This window comes from Homo sapiens, chromosome 19 (assembly GCF_000001405.40).
Source record: "Homo sapiens chromosome 19, GRCh38.p14 Primary Assembly".
NCBI classification, from domain to species: domain Eukaryota; kingdom Metazoa; phylum Chordata; class Mammalia; order Primates; family Hominidae; genus Homo; species Homo sapiens.
The window spans coordinates 34,541,692-34,561,609 of NC_000019.10; the positions used below are offsets into that span (position 1 = coordinate 34,541,692).

A 19,918-nucleotide genomic window follows, 5' to 3' on the forward strand; every position below is an offset into this window, starting at 1 on the left:
TGAGATACAAAATGATTTTATTAGATACCAAAACCTTTATTCACACCATTTTATTTCTTTTGCAGCTTTAATTTTTAACATTATAACATTTACTGGCTCCTCTGGGTGACTAAATATCTTCACATGCCCACTAGCTAAAAAGAATTTCTAAGTAGAACTCAACTGAAACTGCAAGCTACTGCTCTAAGAAATGCATAATGACATTTATTTGCTCTCCTGTAGAACCCTGTTTACAAATAGCATCACTGCAAAGATTTACACGTAATTCCTAAAACTTTCAGGTTGTTCTTCCATTAATCTTCTGATGTGTAGCAAGATAAACACTCTTAGTGAACACTTGGCTACATCTCTTAAATGAGAGTTCTCTCCAGTTTGAGTTCTTTGTAAAATAAGGGATGCACTTGGAACTGAAGTCTTCCCTCAATTTCTAAATTTTCTACATTCATACAGCTTCTCTCCTGTAGGAGTTTGTAAAAGATTCCTATTGTCTATAGTCTTTCCCACATTTGCTATATGTACAGGGTTTTATCCTAGTGTGAGTATACTTATGTCAATTAAGGGGTTAATACTGACAAAGGCTTTCCCACATTTATGGTCTTCATATGATTTCTCTACAGTATAAACTCTGAAAAATAAAAACATCTGAATCATTGCTGAAAGTCTTCCCATATTCACTACATTCATAAAACTTTTCCCCAGTATAATTTTTTCTGATGTTAAATGAGGATCTATGAATGAACTTTACCATGATAAACACTGCTTCATATACATTCTCTTCTGTAAGATTTCTCACATGTATAGTGATTCATATAGTCTAAAGGCTTTTCCACACTTACCACACTATTGGGTTTCTCTCCATTATGTACTCTTTGATGGGCAGTAAGATTTGAGCCTTTGCTAAAAGCTTTCCCACACTCACTACATTTATATGGCTTTTCTCCAGTATGAATTCTCTGATGTACGGTAAGGTTTGAACTACAGCTGAAGGTCTTCCCACATTTAATACATTCGTAAGGTTTCTCTCCAGTATGAATTCTGTGATGTTGAAGCAGGGATGACCTATGACTAAAGGCTTTCCCACATATATGGCATTCATTAGATAGAAATCACATTTCAATCTAATGTGATTTCTCAAATGCATATTCAGTGATTCAAGCTGGTTGAAGGATTTCCTGCATTTCTGACATTCAAAGGGTTTTTCTTCAGTATGAATACTCTGATGCTGAACAAGAAATGAGAGGCTACTAAAGACTTTCAGACATTTGTTGCATTCATATTGTTTCTCCATAGTGTGAATTCTTTGATGTGGAGTAAGGTGTGAGCTACAGCAGAAAGCTTTCTCACATTCTCTACATTCATAAGGCTTCTCTCCAGTATGGATTTTCTGATGGTGAATGAGAGACGACGTATGAATGAAGGCCTTTCCACATATACGACACTCATAGAGTTTTTCTTGCGTATGAATTCTTAGATGTTCAATAAGATGGGACACACGCCTAAAAGACTTTCCACAGTTCATACATTCATATGGTTTCTCTCCAGTGTGAGTGCTCTGATGGTTAGTAAGTGATGAGCCATGGCTAAAGGCCTTCCCACATTCAATACATTTGTAAGGTTTCTCTCCACTATGGCTTATCTGATGTCGTGTAAGGGATGAGCCGTGGCTAAAAGTCTTCCCACATTCACGACATTCACAGGGCTTCTCTCCTGTATGAATTCTCCAGTGGCGATTGAGGATTGACTGTTTGCCAAAGGCTTTCCCACATTCCCTAGATGTATAGACTTTCTCTATTATAAGTGTGGTGAGGAGAGGTGCTCTGGTTAACGGCTGCTCCACTTTTATTAGAATTCAAGAGTTTCTTTCCACCATTGAGTCTCTCATTTTTTACAACTGACTTTTTTGGTAAATTCTTCTTTAATATATTGTATTTGTGTGAATTCCCTTTAGCAGAATTTTTTTATGGTTCAGAAAGAGTAGACTTTGAATGAAAGGTGATTCTAAATGTGTCATATTTGTAACTGTCCCCAGTGGGGCTTTCTCTAGAGGTGAGAGTTGCTGGTCTGAAATGTTCTACATGAATTCCAGGCTTCCCTTCCAACTTTTCTATGTGTTCCAAATTCTTGGTAGAATTTGAAAATTCATAACTTTGTTTTAAAACTTTTTCTATTGTTACTGTTTGGAGTGAATCTTCCTTATAAATATCCTTCTTTGTTGATAATTCCTTGTTTTCCCATCTTGATTCCCAACCTGAAATATATAAAGAAAGCAAAGTACTGTTTTTTTCTTTTTTTTTACTCCTTGAAAAGAAACTTCTATGGTGGAATTAGGAGAAATGGATAAGAATTGAAGCCCCCAGAAAACACAGAGTTCTGACAATTCAAATATTTCAGTGATTTCTGAACAATGCTCAAATGGAGCAGAGAATACAGAGTTCACAGAAGAAGCAGGAGTGATAACAGAAATGGGTAAAATATACATAATAGATAAAACAGTATATGAATAAAAGGAAACTATCAGAAATAAAATGTGGAAGGCATTCTGGATTCCAAGCCATCTCTTTGTGCCTATATTCATGTATGAAAGATTGCATTTTGTCTCATAGCCTTTTTCTCCAACCTTCCATTAATCTCAATTTGCTGCCAGATTAACATGCTTAAAATACAGAATTGATACTACTGCATTAAACAGTTGCAGGAAAAACAAAATAATCTAAGTGCTGTTTAGAGCTGACAAAGATTTAGGCCTTCTGAGGTTATGAAGAAACTGTGAATCATATCAGTTATTGGACATTAGAAAATATTATTCCTAGGAACATATTTTATATGTTCCTTACTTCCTCTAATATGTTCATATTTCATCTACAAAGCTCAGCTTTAGAAAAGTGATTTTCCATCTAATTGTCAGCTTTTCTTAGCCTAAAAGTATCAGTTTGTTTTTTCTTATGTAGATTTAAGAAAGAATAATTTGCCTTACTTTGTCATGAATAGAGTAACAATTTGAATTATTATAATGACAAAAACCTCTAACCTTGATTAGATGACATGAGTGATACAGATAATAATGTGGGATAGAGGAACAATTATTTTGAAAATCTAAGCTAAATATCCCTCAATTTTTCATTAATATTTGAGATATTTGAAGATAGTGTTCCTAAAATGCCTCCACACTCACTATAAACATCTTTAACCAAATCTTCCTTTGTCTCATTCACCATGACTCACCTGGAATCATACCTTTTGACAGTTTTTTCTCCACCATCCAGGGCTCTTTCCCATGCTCCAACAATGTGATCACATATGGCTTAGTTATGGAAAGACCTGCTTACAGGAAGAATATAGAATTGTTTAAGCTGTGGTCTTCTATTATGAGAGGCCATCAAAAGAGGGACCACAGGAATGGATGAAGGGTGTTCATTGAAATGGAAAGATAAGCTTTAGGCAGGGCACAACAGAGCTGCACATTTCCTCGGGAGCATGGTACAGAATTCAGCCGTTTACTTAGGAGAATCTCCAGCAATTCAGGGTGGCAAAAGAAAGGTGTCCCCTGTTGGAGTGGAAGGGGTGATATCCTTACCTACAGAGACAAGGTTCTCATAATTCTGGACCATCACATCCTTGTATAAGTCCCTCTGAGCAGAATCTAGGCATGCCCACTCTTCATGAGAGAAGTCTATAGCCACATCACTAAATGTCACCTGAAATAGCAAATATATTTAGGCTCAGCCATAGCCCAGGCCTCTTCTGTCACTGAAGAAGAGGTAAAATTAGCCTGGTTGTGGAAGAAATGGAACAAGATTCAGGAGTCGTGACAAAGATTGGGAATGTGATCTCAGTTAAGTAATAATAGGACAGTTACGTAGATGGAATTATTACATAATAAAGGGGAGAGTTATGTGTTTAGAATTATTATACAATAAGGATGAGAGACAAATATGAGAGCTTTGCTTCAGTAGAGTTAACTTTTTGTTAAAAGTTATAGAATTGTATGAATTTTTAAAAATCAGCATTTAACATTTGACAGCACAGAGTCAAGTATTTGGTTATATATTTTATACCTTAAGTACTAGGTAAGTAATTAAAAAATGAGGCTAAAGCGATTCTCTCTTGAATGGGATACCAGGATGATCCACTAACCCTCATAAAAAATGGGTTTGGAAAAAAGACATCTTTATATTAAAGACTGATAGACATACACTGTTATGGTTTGATTGTGTCTCCCATAAAGCATGTATTGAACTTAATAACCGTTCTAACAGTATTGAGAGGTGAGATCTTTAGGAGACGATTAGGCCTTGAGGGCTCTGCCGTCATGAATGGATTAATGTCATCATCGTGGGAGTGTGTTCCTTATTTAAAAAATGAGTCTGAGGCCCCTTTTTCCTCTCTCCTCTTTTTGCCCATCCACCCATCCACCATAAAAGCACACAGCAACACGGCCCTTGTCAGACCCCTCCCCCTTGATCTTGGACTTCTCAGGCTCCAAAACCATGAGAAGTCAATTTCTTTTTTTTCTTTCTTTTTTCTTTTTTTTTTTGAGATGGAGTCTCACTCTGTTGCCCAGGCTAGAGTGCAATGGCACGATCTCGGCTCACTGCAACCTCTGTCTCCTGGGTTCAAGTGATTCTCCTGTCTCAGCCTCCCAAGCAGCTGGGATTACAGGTGCCCGCCACCATGCCTGGCTAATTTTTGTATTTTTAGTAGAGACGGGGTTTCACCATGTTGGCCATGCTGGTCTTGATCTCCTGATCTCAAGTGATCCACCCACCTCAGCCTCCCAAAGTGCTGGGATTACAGGTGTGAGCCACCGTGCCTGGCCAAGAAGTCGATTTCTATTGTTTGTAAATTACTCAGTCTGTGGTATTCTGTTACAGCAGCACAAATGGACTAAAACATACACATAACTGATTCATAAAAAAGAAAAATATATTTATGGCATATACTTAAACTTTGTACTGATAGACATTTAATAACTAAAATATGAGACCCCTGGGCGAAAAGACTGAAGGCTGGTTTCATGTCATAGATCAGGGGTCCCTAACCCCCAGACCATGGACTGGTACTGGTCTGTGGCCTGTTAGGAACTGGGCCACACAGCAGGAGGTGTGTAGTCGGCAAGTGAGCATTACCACCTGAGCTCCACCTCCTGTCAGATCAGCCGTGGCACTGCATTCTCATAGGAGCGCAATCCCTACTGTGAACTGTGCATGCAAGGGATCGAGGCTGCACACCCCTTATGAGAATCTAACTAATGTCTGATGATCTGAGGTGGAACAGTTTCATCCCCAAACAAACACCTCCCACTTCTGGGGAAAAATTGTCTTCCATGAAACTGATCCCTGGTGCCAAAAATGTTGGGCACCCCTGCCACAGACAGTCCTTAACTAGGACCTGAAACTAAGCGGGGAACAAAAGGGTACATTTCAAAGAAAATATTCTAAGGAAATGCTCACAGATGTGCTTGGAAATTCCTCTCAATAGTACTCATTTCAAAGTATTATTTAAGATAGTAAAACTTTAGAAGCTTAAATATTCAATAATAGCTTATTGACTAGTCAAATTATATGTGCAAAAATACATCCATTTAATATAGCATTATTACTGTCTTTGATTTGTGAAAGACTGCTCTACTGTGGTAATTTTTTAGCTCTGAGAGTTAATTCAGCACTGTATTACATTATTTGGATATTTTGCGTGCATGTTCACCAGTGACACTGGTCTCTGGTTTTAAAGGCAGAATTTACTTTTGTCAGGTGTTGGGAAAATAATTAAAATTCAAATCTCCTGCCAATGGTAGAAAATCCTTTCCACAGATGTAGAAAAGAAAGAAAAGAGTTTTATTACTGAATAAGCATTAAATAAGACCTTGATGCATGTCACAGGCAATCCACTAATGAGATTAAAAGGACAGGAAGAAATCTCACTCATCCTTTTATATCACCAAGCAGATACAATCCAATACATACATTTTCCAAATAAACAATAACTTATCCAAGTAAGACCTGACAGTTCAATTTGCTACGCATAATTTGTCCTAAATTCACCCATTAATTGGAGTTGACACTGTTAGTTAATTGCCTTTATCCTAAATAAAAATAACGTTTCTCATATCTTTATGACAGACAAGTCATTACAACTTAGAGCCAGGAATGCTTCTTTCTTCCCCTGCAGTTGCCCGGGCAGCTTGAAATGTTCACTCATCTCTGTCCCCAAAAGAACATAGGATATTTGTCCTAGCACTTATTTAAATTTCCCATGCTTTCTTACTTTTCTACAGTGCTGCAGTCCTCAATACAGTAGCCACTAGCCAATTTGGCTACCTACATTTAAATTAATTAAAATGTAAAAATAAAATAAAATTTAAAATTCAGTTCCTCAGTTGCTTAAGCCACAGTTCAAGTACTCAATAGTCATATGGGGCTGGTGGCTACCGTACTGACCAGTACACATGCACAGCACTTCCACCACTGCAGAAAGTTCTCTTAGACAATACTGCACTAGATCATGAAGTCCTGTGTGTCAGTGTACACCACAATCCATGTACAACTTTTCCTACCAGGTACTTCATAAGTGTTTAGAAGATGAACCAATGAATGTTTTTGGCATTAGTTCACTTTAGCCTTTACTTTGTTTTTTTTTTTTAAGAGATAGTATCTTGCTCTGTTGCTAAGCTGGAGTGCAGTGACATAATCATAGCCCACTGCAGCCTCACACCCCTGGGCTCAAGCAATCTTCCCACCTCATCAGCCTCCCGAGTAGCTGGGACAACAGACATGTACCACCATGCCAGTTTTTCAATTCTAATTATCTATTTTTTCCAAGAAAACAGACTTCACCCAACATGTACATCTGCTACTCATATCCCCTCCTATGCAAGCTTCACCTTCCATGCCATGATTCTGCCCCACCAGTTCTTCATTACTCATCTTATTCACTCCACAGTTACTTACTAAGCATCTATTTGGTGCCAGGTACCACTCTGGGTACTGAAGCTATAATAGACAACAAAGAAGAAAAAAGATTCCTCCCACCAGGAAAAGACAATGAGCACGTGCATATAGTGAACATACAGTACATCAGCTAGTGAGTGACACACGCCGTGGAAAACAAGAAAGCAGTGACGGAGGAGTGGAAGTGCTAGGTGTTCAGGGAAGCTTTTCTGAGAAAGTAACCACCAGAACCCAAAATGTACTAAAAGATTGGACTTATGTGTCCTTAATGAATGTGTCAAATGAGTCTCCTGGAAGGAGCATGTTATTAATATCATGTCATACCTGTGCTCTTAGAGAAAGAAAGATGGATGCAGTTCAGATTTTGTCTGCAGATATTGTACATGATGCCAAAGCTAACAAGGTACCCTCTGGGTGGCCTGGGAAAGGTATGTTGCATGCCTTCAGAGGTGGAGATAAATTGCAGTAGAGAGGCTGTTGAAATTGGCACCAAACAGATCATGTTAGCCAAATCTACAAGAGCAAAATATATACCAGTTTTTGACTGAATAGAATCAGCAATGTTAATAATATTGGATATTGGCTATGGAGGCCTCAATGGATGGGACCACAGCATTAAGGTGTAGTAATCCATCAGGAATTTTATGCTGTTTAGAGAAGAATAAAAACTTAAAAGATAGGAAATAAACTAAATGAAAAAATAAACTAAAATATATAGCTGGGCAAAATGTATTATATTAATTAATGCCCAAAGTTTGAGTGTTGGAAGAGGGAGAGTTGAATTAATGCAGAGACCATGAACAAGGAAAAGTGAACATGTACTTTTATTGTTAAATTGTGTGATGAATAATGCAATTGACCATTATAAATAGAAATTCAACTACATGAAGCATCAATATCTTATAGCCCATCCTGAGGCTATCGAGATGCTCTACCTTAAGGACCTCATTAGCATAAACTCAGGGGTCATCAGTGGGGCTCACTATTAATAACAAAAGACACTCCTATCACTCAGGACATTCCAGGGGTTTCAGCACTCTGAGAGGAACTGATGACAAAGACCAAATATATGTCCTACCAGAATCTTGCTTGATCTTCTCTCAACTTCCTTGATCTGTGCTTTTTGATGTCTGTCAGTAAGTTTGGAAAACTTTCAGTCATTATCACTTCAAATCGGTTTTCTGCTCCTTTCTCTCCTCCTCTAGGATTCATTCTCATTATGCCCATGTTACATCTTTTATAACTGTCCATAGTTCTTGGATATTCTGTTTCAGTTCCCTCCCTCTCTCTCTCCTTCTCTCTCTTTTTGCTTTCCAGTTTGAGAAGTTTCCATCAACATGTTTCACACTCACAGATTCTTTCCTTGATCTTCTGTATTCTGTTGATAAGCCCATCGAAGACATTCTTCATTTCTGTTACAGTGTTTTTTATTTCTAGCATTTCCTTTTAATTTTTTTTTTTGTGTTTGCCTCTCTCTGCTTATATTACACATGTGTTCGTCCATGTTGGCCACTTTCTCCATTAGAATCCTTAGCATATTAATCATAGTTTAAAATCCTGGTGTGATAATTCCAACCTCTCTGCCCCAGTGTCTAGTTGTGATAGCTGCTTTGTCTCTTCATAATGTGTTTCTTCCTGCTGCATTAGTCTTCTTGGGTTATTCTTCTTAACAGAATGCCACAGACTGAATGACATAAACAAGAGACATTTATTCGCTCACAATCCTGGAGGATGGAATGCCTAGATCAAGGTGTCAGCAGAGTTGGGTTTTGGTGAGGACTCTCTTGCAGGCGTGCAGACAGCTGCCTTCTTGCTGTGTCCTGACATGGTCTTCAGTCTGTGAGCACACACCCTGGGTGTCTCTTCCTTTTCCTATAAGGACTGTAGTCTTATTTGTTTAGGGATCCATCCTTACACCTCATTTAACCTTAATGACCTCTTTAAGGTCTCTGTCTCCAATACAATCACACTGGGGGTTAGGGCTTTAACATGAATTTGCTGGGGAGGGATGGGCACAACTCAGTCTAGAGCATTTACCTTTTATCATGTTGTGCTATTTTTGTTGATAGCCAGACATGATGTATCGGGTAAGATGAACTAAGGTTAATAGGACTTTACTGCGAGGTTTTATGTTTATCTGGCTAGAATTTTGGCTGTTTATTATTTGCTGTAGCAGTAGATTTCAGGGGATTAAATTTCCTCTAATATCCTTGTTGGTGTCTCTGCTGTTGTCTGTGGGTTTCCCTAGAAATTCCTGTCTGTCTCTTGCAGCTCTATCAGTTACCATCTACTGTTTTTTGTTTATTATGATTTTTATTTATTTTATTATTTTTTGAAACAAAGTATCCCTCCGTCACCCAGGCTGGAGTACAGTGGTGCAATCTCGGCTCATTGCAACCTCTGCCTCCCAGGATCAAGTGATTCTTTTGCCTCAGTTTTCCAAGTAGCTGGAATTACAGATGCATGCCACCACGCCCAGCTAATTTTTGTATTTTTAGTAGAGACCTGGTTTCGGCATGTTGGCCAGGCTGGTCTCGAACTCCTGACCTCAAGTGATCCACCCACCTCAGCCTCCCAAAGTGCTGGGATTACAGGTATGGGCCATTGCACCTGGCCCATCTGCTGTTATTATACCGCAGACCTGTTGATGTGGTGATAAGGTATTGTGGAGAGGCAGCATTTTTGAATCTCATGATTACATCTCATGATTACATCTCAGTTTTATTAGTGAGACTGAGTCCCTGGGCTGACCTTCAGAAAAATTTCTTAGCTTTCTTTTCTTCCTTTATTTGAGATAGGAAGACTAGATGGAACAGACTGACTAGTTCTTCTCACAGGTCACACACGATTTGGTAAAGTAGTTTCCTGGGGGCAGGCTTTTGTTATGTAGCACAGAATACTCTGGGCTTATTTCAAAATGCTTATGTTTCCTTGGGTGTGTCTTAGAATGATTATTTCCCCTTCCTCCTGCTTGAAGCATGAGATAATTGTTCTCCAGTCTTCATCAGGAGAATCTGGTGGGTCTCCTGGAGGCAAATCTCATGAAAATACAGGTGCTGCTCCCATGATAAGACTGGGCTCCCAGGATTTTTTAAGACTAAGGCTTGTCCACCATTAGCCTCCAGCAATTTGTTAATCACTGTTCACCTGTCAGTTGCTGGCTCCAGAGGCTTCTGTCCTCAAAATCTGATCCCCTATATTTGCTGTGTCTCCAGTTTGGGGGGGCATTGCTTTGCCCTATGGCCTCGATACTCTGATGGATCTAAGAAGAGTTACTGATTTTCAGTTTGTTCAACTTTTTGTTGTTTTGAGGACGGGAGTAACAAGCTCTTTAGATGTTGGAGTGGAAACCACAAATATATATATATGTACTATTTCTCATTATCAAGTTTTATTTCCCCCATTCTTTTGTCAAAACAAATGTTGGATAGTTATAAAAGCTTTACAGCATATTTGTCCACTAATTTCATCATTTTCATCATTTTTGTGCTTCTCAATTCACTCTTCTGGTTAATGATTTTTATGTCACTACTTCTTTGTGTGCATGGTTATTCTTTATTGGATGCCAGATACTGAATTTTACATTATTGAATGTTGTATTTGTTTGTATTGCTTTAAACAATGTTGGACCTTGGTATGCCATTCAATAAAATTACTTAGCAGCATGATTTCCTCTTGCCTGCTTGGCACTAGGTCTTTCTGTTTTAAACTTTTTTAGTATAAGACCAGAGCAGCCTTGAGTCTGTCAGCCCCGTTCTTTAGGTGATACCTTTCTATCTGGTGTTTTCTGTACTAATAGGTGTTCCACACTGGCAGGTGAACATACAATTCCCAGCCCTGGATGAGCTCAAATAATTGTTTGGGATATTGCTTTGTAGGGGTTCCTTTCTAAACCTCAGGTAGTGTCTGGTCATGCTTGTGCAGATCGGGACTTAGCCAAAGATTTACATGGATACTTCTGCAAATCTTTGCCTCTCTCCTCTCTCCTATTATCCCACCTAAATTATACCCATGGTGGTCACCATATATACTTATTTTTCTTCTACACTGTAAGCAGGAATAATTGTAGGGCTCACGTGTTGTAACCTAGTGAGTTACAGAGAAACACCACACTCTGAGACGAATTCAGGTGTCCTTTATTAGCCAGCGACTGAGAGATGGCTAGTGCTCAAAATTCTCTAGGCCCCAAAGAAGGGGCTAGATTTTCTTTTTTACTTTGGTTTAGAAAGGAGAGGGGGGGAGTCTAGTTAAAACAATCTTACAGAAGTAAAGCAGGCAAAAAGTTATAAGGATAAATGGTTACAGGAAAGCAAACAGTTCCAGGTGCAGGGGCTTTAAATCTATCACAGGGTGACAGATGCGGGGCTTTGGGTGTTATCAACCAGATGAATTCCTAGGAACTGCGGATATAGCTTTCCACAGTATCTTATCAGTTAATTGCATCCTTGGATGTGTTGGGAATCTGCTTGCACAAGTCAAGTCAAGTCCTTGAGGAAGGGAGTGGGTAAGGGGCTGTAAGTGAAGGAGCCAAGATGGAGTCTGTCTGGCTCTCTCAGCTAAGGGAGAGTCAATTCAGGTTAAAACAAGGTTGGGTATCACATTCCCCACTTGTGTTTTTGGGGAATCAAACCATTGATTCCTCGGTTATAACCAGGGGGTTATATTGGGTTTTAAGGTACATAAGCTTGACAGAAGCTATATGTTGTTTTACAAAATTAAGAAACCAATTTAACATACAAGGCTCAAAGACTAAGCCTAACAATAGGGGAGAAAGGGTCCAGCTAACCCAGTGATTAGAGTAGTTAGCAATGGATTCCAGTTAAACATGCTTTGGTACCAGGGGGTGTTATTTTCTCGTTCTTGCTGGTGCCTGTCTAGGTTTTCTCAAACTTTTTGGAGAGTATCTTTTATGACTCCAGACTGATTGGCACAGAAGCAACAACTCTCTCCTAGAGTGGCACATAACCCTCCTTGGGAGAGAAATAGCAGATCTAAGCCTCGGCGGTTTTGAAGAACTACTTCAGCTAGAGATTTTACTTGGGTATGTAGTATATTTATGGCTGATTGGAGATTGCTTAAATCAGCATCTACTTGTTGAGACAGGGACATTAGTCCAGTTTCTCCCTGAACCAGGGCAGCCATGCTGATGGCTGCTGATCCAGCTATGCTAAGGCCAGCCAGGAGGGGTACAAGGAGTGGGGTGGCTCGGCAAAACCTGGGATGTAATTCAGGGGGAGCAATAAGAAGTTATCCTTCTGGCCCACTATACACGTAGACCTGGGGGAGTACATGAACCAACACACACAGGAGAGGTCCTGGTTTAGTTCCATTGATGTGGCAAGTGAGACCTGAAGTGCAGGCTAACCAGGTATTGTTAGGTGCCTGGTAGGAGACTGAGGTGCTTAAGGAGGTAAGCATAGACTGATTACAGGTAGCCTGAAAGGGAGAAGCAGATAAGTTATATCCGGTGCTAATTAGACAAGAAGTGTTTCCAGACGTATCTCCTAATGGGAGGGCATGGGGGCATGTACAACAAGAAAGAGAGCCAATTTTAAGTGCGGCTTCTACTCCTAATCCAATATAATATGGGGGTTTGTCCTTTAGGCACAACCAACAATCTTGGGCTAGTTTAGGCTGGGTGAGATTGAGGAGGTGATGTACCCCACCTAGAATGGACATCAGGCTGGGTTGGAGGTGCTGTCATTGCAGGTGAGGTTTGGGGACCAGGAATGGCAGTGGGACAGTTAAATCAACCTTGTCTGGATGTTTTGGGAACATAAGGTCATCTAAATCAGTTAAAGGCCTGATTGGCTTAGGAGGGCTCCATGAGACGAGGATTTTTTTTGGATGGTGAACATAGTTCCAACATCAAATCCCGGGATATAAAGCCTTAATCCCTATGACATGACATAATACCATTGAGCTAAATTAGGATTATGGATGTTTATAGTGAGAGGATTGCAATTTCTCCTAGTACACAGCTTAGGACGGGAAGCACGAGCTATGGAAAGGGTTGAAGATCGAGTTGATGCCCCAGAGTAGGTGGCCAAAGTTACACATGTCCAGTCAGGGCAGAAAAACTGGTAAGAATCTTGACAACTAGAGTTAGGGTGATTTCCAGGACAGAGGTAAAAGTCAACATTCTGAAGTCCTTTTTCTGCACCTTTGGAGTTTCCACATCCAGTCTGGCTTCTGGAGTGTCCAAATTCCACAGCAAAGTCGACGATACCTGCTCCTATGACTGGCAGATTGCATTGTTCTTCATGGGTATGGGCAGGCTCTGGGAACAAAGTACATAAATCAACTGTAAAAGAGACTTCCTTGAGATTCCTGCCTTCCAAGTAGTGTTTGCAAACACACATCCTGCTGTGAAAGAAGTGAGGAGGAAAGAGTAGGATGGGGCAGAAGGCATAATAGGTGGAAACAAACAATAGAGGTAAATAAAAAGAATTAATCTGATGGCTTCACTTGACTTAGGGGCAGTTTTAAGGGGCCTGGCCCAGGCTTGGGGACCCATGTTTCTTGTTGGGCTCTGTTGTCCTTTTTGATGTGAGATTGATGAATCCAAGCTGGAATGCCATCTACTTTCAGAGCCGTTGGTGTGGTGAGGATGACAGTATGAGGTCCTTTTCAGGCAGGAATGAGTCCTTTCTGGAACTTTTTAATGTACATGAGGTCACCCGGCTGGAAAGAGTGGTAGGGCCCCGTCTAGTCAGGAACTGGATTGGGGTGAGCTCCCCGGACAAGCGGCTGGATGATGTCTTGTACCTGTTGGAGAGACTTCCTGATTTTTACTGGCCTGAAGATCCGAAGCCTGTTTTTCCTCCTCTGGGGAATATTTTGGGTGATCTGGCAAGTCAGGTTGCAGAAAGGACACTGCAGGCAGCAGGGTCAGAGGTGCAACAGGGAGACGAGCTGCCTCCTAGGCTGTAGAGTCTGCTTTTTGGTTACCATGGGCAATGGCCATGTCTTCTTTTTGATGTCCTTTGCAGTGAATTACAGCCACCTGCTGGCAGTGCTTGGGCCTACAGTATATCCATCTCTGTAGTGATGGCAGCACCAGCCTTTTGAACTCCCTGCTCAAGGAAGCTGCTACCATCTCTAAACACGGTGGCTTCTGCCTCCTTTAAAGATACCTCTTGGAGATCAGGTCGGCCAGATTCCGTAGTCTCCAACGGTTCTTGGCAGTCATGGACAGGTATAGTAAGGTCTGTCTCTTGGTGGTGGGAGTGGGGATTCACAGGATGGCTTCACACTGGTGAGTGCCCTTTTTCCTTTCTTTATCTTGTACCTTAGGTAGGACACTCTAAGAAGACAAAGCTGGGCCTTTTTGGCCGAGATCCAATACCTGAGCACCTGAAGGAGGTAAAGTAGGTCCCTAGTATGTTGCAGGCAGCTGTCAGTAGTTTCAGTAGCCAATAAGTCATCTACATACTGAAGAATAGTACAATTGGGGTGACTGGCTCAGAATGGTATAAGATCCTGTTGGAGGGCTTCCCCAAAAAGGATGGGGGAATTTTTAAAGCCTTGAGGTAACTGAGTCCAAGTTAATTGGGTGGTATCTCCTGAGCCAGGATCTGTCCATTCAAAAGCAAAGATAGGTTGGCTTTTGGGGGCCAGAGGAATAGCAAAGAAGGCATCCTTTAAGTCAAGGACAGTGTATACTGTATGTTCTGGTGGGAGCAGGCTGAGTAAAGTATAAGCATTGTGGACAGTTGGATGGATGGTAACTGTCCACTTGTTAACCTCCCTCAAGTCCTGCACAGGCTGGTAATCATTTGTTCCAGGTTTCTGGACCGGCAAAAATGGAGTATTCCAGGTGGATTGACATGGTGTGAGTATGCCAGCTTGTAGCAGTCACTGAATATGGAGATTTATCCCCTCTCTAGCCTGCTGACTCATAGGATACTGTTTTATCTGGACTGGCAGGGCAGTGGCCAGAAGTTCTACAACTACTGGCAGATGATGCTTTGCTTATCCCAGGGGGTTTGACTCAGCCCAGACTCGAGGAAACAGTCTGTAGGTCTAATAGGAGGAGAGAATTTGTTTTATTCTCCAATGGTTGTGATGGTGAAACCAAAAGATATTCCTCTGACAGAGGGGTAGTTAGCAGGAGTTGGGCAGTAGGGGGCGTTGTGTCCCCTAACGTGAAGTGAGCCTGCTGGGCTGAGAGATAGAAGCCTGTAACTTATGGAGCAGGTCTCATCTGAGAAGGGGAAGGGGGCACTCTGGGACTACAAGAAATGAGTGAGTTACTCTTTTCTTTCCTAAACTCACTTATCATGAGTGGGTGACAGGATATTCCTGAATAGCTCCTGTTGCCCCTTGTACAGCTACTCTTTTATTAGAGACACTGCCTAAGGGTGTCTGCAGTACTGAGTGTTCCACCTCAGTATCTATTAGGAAGTATACATGCTGGCCCCCCACTGTAGCGGTCACCATGGGCTCCTGGGGGCCAAGTGAAAGGGAGCCCCAGTCCCATCAGTCATCAGACTCCTCCGCTGTGGGGAGGGTGAGGACCTTTTTCTTTTCTGGTTTTTGCTCTGGCTTTAATGGGCATTCCTTCTTCCAGTGTCCTATCTGCTTGCAATAAGCACATTGGTTTTTCTCCAGGGGAGCCCGCTCACCTTTCTTGCCCTTTTGGCTGGGACCCGGGGTTCCCTGGCTATTCCTCTGTGATGGGGGCCCTTACTTTTTGGCTTCCTGGATGGCCACCACTAAGATTTTTGCTTGTCTTTTGGATGCTTTATCAGCAGCTTTTTCAGCTGCCTCAGCTGCCTGTTTTCGTTTTTCAGACTCTCGATTGTCAAAAACTTTCTGGGCTACTTCTAAAAGCTGGCTATTGTTCATTCCAGCAAATCCCTCCGGCTTTTGTAATTTTCTTTTACTATCAGTAGCTGCCTGAGCCACAAACACCAAATTAATAGCACGGCTATTCTTGGGAGCTGCCGGGTCAAAAGGGGTGTAAGTTTGATAGGCCTCCTGGAGACTTTCTAAAAGTGTTCCAGGTTCATCAGGCCCCTGGACAACTTCAGTTGTCTCAGACAGATTTATGGGTTTTTGAGCGGCTCCCTTGAGGCCCACAAGGAGATACCGGTGAAAATCATCTAAAGCCCTCCTCCCACCCGAGGAGTTAGGATCCCAATTAGGCCGGGTAGAGGGAAAAACCTCCTTAACGAGGTTTTGGGCTTCCCCCTCTGGTCTATCAGCTGATGTAAGGAAATACTTTCTGGCTTCTCTTCGGATACAATTCCTCTCTTCAGAGATGAAGAGGGTTAAAAGGCGTTGCTGACAATCATCCCAGGTGGGCCGGTGAGTCTGGAGCATGGACTCCATCAGTGAGGTCAGAACCTGGGGTTTTTCAAAGAAGGGGGGATTATGAGCCTTCCAGTTGTACAGGTCAGAAGTAGAGAAAGGGACGTAAACTAAGAATGGAGCTGAGCGCTCATCACCCGGAGGGATTTGTGCCTCTCTCAGTGGGAGGAGGGGGGCTACCTCCTCCTGCCATGGCCACAATCAGGAGGCAATAGATGGGGACGCCACAGGAGATGTAGTTGAGGAGGCAAGGGGAGATTCTGGGGGAGCAGGAGGGTTATAAGGTGGCAGAACTGTGTGAGGAAAACTTTCCTCTTCTTCAGAGGGAGGCAATACAGGAGGAGCCAAGGGAGCTGAGGATCCGGACAAAAGTGTGTGGTCTCGCTTAAAATGACCTTGGAGGTAAGATTATGAATGGCACATGAGCGGAGCCAAGGGGGAGGGCTCCGGACCAATCTCAGCCATTGATCAATGTAGGGAAACGGATCGGGGTGACCGGGAGTTCCAGCAACGACCCGCCACACAGCCTGAAGAGCTGTGAGATTCAGTGACCCTTCTGGGGGCCACACGGTTCCAAACTGTGGTCATTCTACTTCACAGAGTATCTGGAGTTTGCCTTTTTTAAGGTGGACCCCATAATTCTCTGAGAAGCCTAGGGAGAAATTTTGTAACATACATTGGAGAGGGCTCCAATCTTTATGAGGCTGGGAAGAAGAGTTTCCCATTCTGGAGGCAATTTAAAAAGGTTTCAGCAGAAATATTAAACCCAGCACAGACAGAGAAATTCAAGACCTGGGGGGCTGCAGTATCAGAAGAACAGAAGTATTATAACCAGAAGAAGAAGGAAAACAACCATAGTCAACACTTCTTGCCACATAAGGACGGTCTGTTTAAGCTTTGAGATCTAGGGGGAGGACAAGAGGCAGGTCTGAGGCCAGTGGGACCTACGTGATCCCCTCCTTTTTGTCCTATAGCCTAAATATCTTTGGTGTCTCCATGACTTGAAGGCAAAAAGTTCAAACTTGGCCTTTTCTTTTAAGGGTTGAAAAAGGGAGGACAGAACCAAGTCTTGGAGACACTGGATTTGCTGCAACACAGGAAAATGAGATGTGCAGGGTAAAGGATGGGAATGAGGAGGAAAAGGGGCCACTTGGATTTTTCCAGGCTAGGAGGAGCCATGCCGGGCAGCTCTGGGTCACCAGGGCCACTCTGCGGTCCCCCGCCCTGCCTCCAGGCCCTGTCAGACGCTGCAAGCCCAGCTCAGAAGCCTGGCCTGGGACCAAGTTCACTGCAGCAGGCTGGGCCCTTGCATTCTGAGCTGGGTGCGGATGCGCTGGTGCTCTGGGAAGTCAGGGGCTTTGACAACTGAAGGCAAAGGAGCCGGGCACCTGAGGGGGTCCCGGGGGAGGGGGTGCCGGGGGAGGGGATCCGGCGTCGTCACCCTCCAGTCCTTGCCCACAGGTCAGGGAGCCCCTGCCATGGGGGAAGGAGGCTGTTTCTTTTGTAAACTGGTGGAGGCGTGCCTCGCCCCTGGGCCTGACAGCCCAAAGAGACACGCCTGAGACCTCTGGACAGAGTACAGCAGTATGGGCGTAGGTTTCTCTGCACAGTGCCTTATCCATGGGCACGGGAAAAGTTATGGGATGACAGAAAAGATGAGCAAGGAGGTCTGTGGGGTGGCTATTTTGAATCCACCACCGGTCTAATGTGGAGGTGGTCCAGTCAATTGGGCATGGGGTATGGCAATCTAAATGCCAGCAACCTTTAAGGTGCCAGAAATCCCACACTCTTTCCCATAACAACACCTGATTTGTTTCTGACAGAAAAGGCAGGACTGGGATGGCCAACCCAAATGATTGATGAGAAATTTGACCTCCTGTGATAGAAAATCAGTACTGAGGACCTTGAAGAAGTTCTTACCCAGTTGTCTAGGGCAGTATTGATGACCTGACATATGAAATTTTACCAAACAAGACAATAGACCCTGGGGCATACAAACAATTATGACAATTTTTTAATAGACAGACAAAGGAAGGGGGGCCCGTGATGGGATCAGTCAGATGCCCATCTGGCCACTCTCCCTGAGGGGACTTAGGCTCCTCTTAGCATTGGCAGGCTGGTATAAACCCCTGGCTTGGATCGAGCTATGCCTGATGCTGCCTTAAGCCTTAAGAGGTCACCACGGAACTGCAGGTGAGGGCCCATTCAAACTCCGTAGCTTTCACCGTGGAGCTACATACTGGAAATTCAAGTGCAAGCCCTTGAACTCCACATTCACGCACTCATTCACACAGAGTTTATAACAGTTTTCTTATTCCCTTTCCAAAACAGAGGTCTCCGGGAGACCTGAACGAGAGAAGGAGAAGAGATAGAGAAAGAGGGAGGGAGGGAGAGAGAGAGAGAGAAAGAGAGAGAGAGATAGAGACTAGTCTTAACAGAGAGGCCTAACAGAAAACCAGGACTCTGTCCTCCAGTGTCCTGGAACATGGGCAGAGTCAAGGGAGGGCCATCGTCAGGGCTGCTTCCCTCCCAGAGAGACACAGAGGTGCCTAACAGAAAACCAGGACTCTGTCCTCCAGCGTCCTGGAATGTGGGCAGAGTCAAAAAGGGAGGGCCTTGTCAGAGCCGTTTCCCTCCCAGAGAAACAGAGTCAGATCTGACTTACTTTCCCAGGACCAGAAACTGAGGACTCAGGAGTTGAATTTTTGTGGGCACACACCAGTGGTCGATCCATTCCCGTCTGGAAGATAGGGTCTTATGGGGCCCTGGAACGTCTTCTGGTGGTGCCTCCCCTATAAGTCTGCTGTCTGTCCAGGGGAGCCTGGAATGAGTCTGGCTCTCACCCGGTGACAAAAAAATCTTGCTGGGGCCTCCAAATGTTGTAACTGAGCTAGGTACAGAGAAATGCCACACTCTGAGACGAATTCAGGAGTCCTTTATTAGCTGGTGACCGAGAGACGGCTAGTGCTCAAAATTCTCTCAGCCCCGAAGAAGGGGCCAGATTTTCTTTTATACTTTGGTTTAGAAAGGGGAGGGAGGCAGTCTAGTGAAAACAACCTTACAGAAGTAAAGCAGGCAAAAAAGTTAAAAGAATAAATGGTTATAGGAAAGCAAACAGTTTCAGGTGCAGGGCTTTAAATCTTTCACAAGGTGATAGACGCGGGGCTTTGGGTGTTATCAACCAGATGAATTCCTAGGAACTGTGGATATAGCTTGCCACAGTATTTTATCAGCTAATTGCATCCTTGGACGTGCTGGGAGTCAGCTTGCATAAGTTAAGTCCTTGAGGAAGGGGTGGGTAAGGGGCTGTAAGTGTAGGAGCCAAGATGGGGTCTGTCTGGCTCTCTCAGCTAAGGGAGAGTCAATTCAGGTTAAAACAAGGTTAGCTATCACACACATACTTTGTATCTTCTTCCTTGAGATCCCAGTCCTTCATTGCCTCTTGTCCAATGCTTGAAAATTGTGTTACTGTTTTCATATATTGCATCTGGTTTTCTTCTTGTTGAAAGCAAGAAAAAATTCTGGTCATTTCATTAGATCATGGTCTGAGGCAGAAATCAGGCTCATTCTTAATTTATTAAATGGCTTATAATCAATTCTATTAATATTTACTTATATTCTCAAGTTCTCCAGGAAGGATACCCCAAAAATTCATA

At 42.7% G+C, this 19,918-nt stretch overlaps 1 long non-coding RNA gene and 1 pseudogene across 3 annotated transcripts in view; one reads left to right on the forward strand and one right to left on the reverse strand.

Moving 5' to 3' along the window:
- ZNF807P (zinc finger protein 807, pseudogene) overlaps nucleotides 1-19,918 on the reverse strand; it is a 135,468-nt pseudogene continuing 115,550 nt past the window's right edge. The window contains exons 2-4 of one of the 2 annotated variants that reach the window (NR_146880.2): nucleotides 3,575-3,695; nucleotides 3,223-3,318; nucleotides 1-2,248 (exon numbers count right to left, since the gene is read on the reverse strand). The product of NR_146880.2 is annotated as a zinc finger protein 807, pseudogene, transcript variant 1 (transcript). The remainder of the gene's footprint in view (nucleotides 2,249-3,222; nucleotides 3,319-3,574; nucleotides 3,696-19,918) is intronic. The other variant, NR_170975.1, reaches the window with a different exon arrangement.
- On the forward strand, nucleotides 13,803-17,293 carry LOC105372374 (uncharacterized). The gene is made up of 4 exons (XR_935923.3): nucleotides 13,803-14,155; nucleotides 14,244-14,312; nucleotides 14,735-14,781; nucleotides 16,586-17,293. It is a non-coding gene; the product is annotated as an uncharacterized LOC105372374 (long non-coding RNA).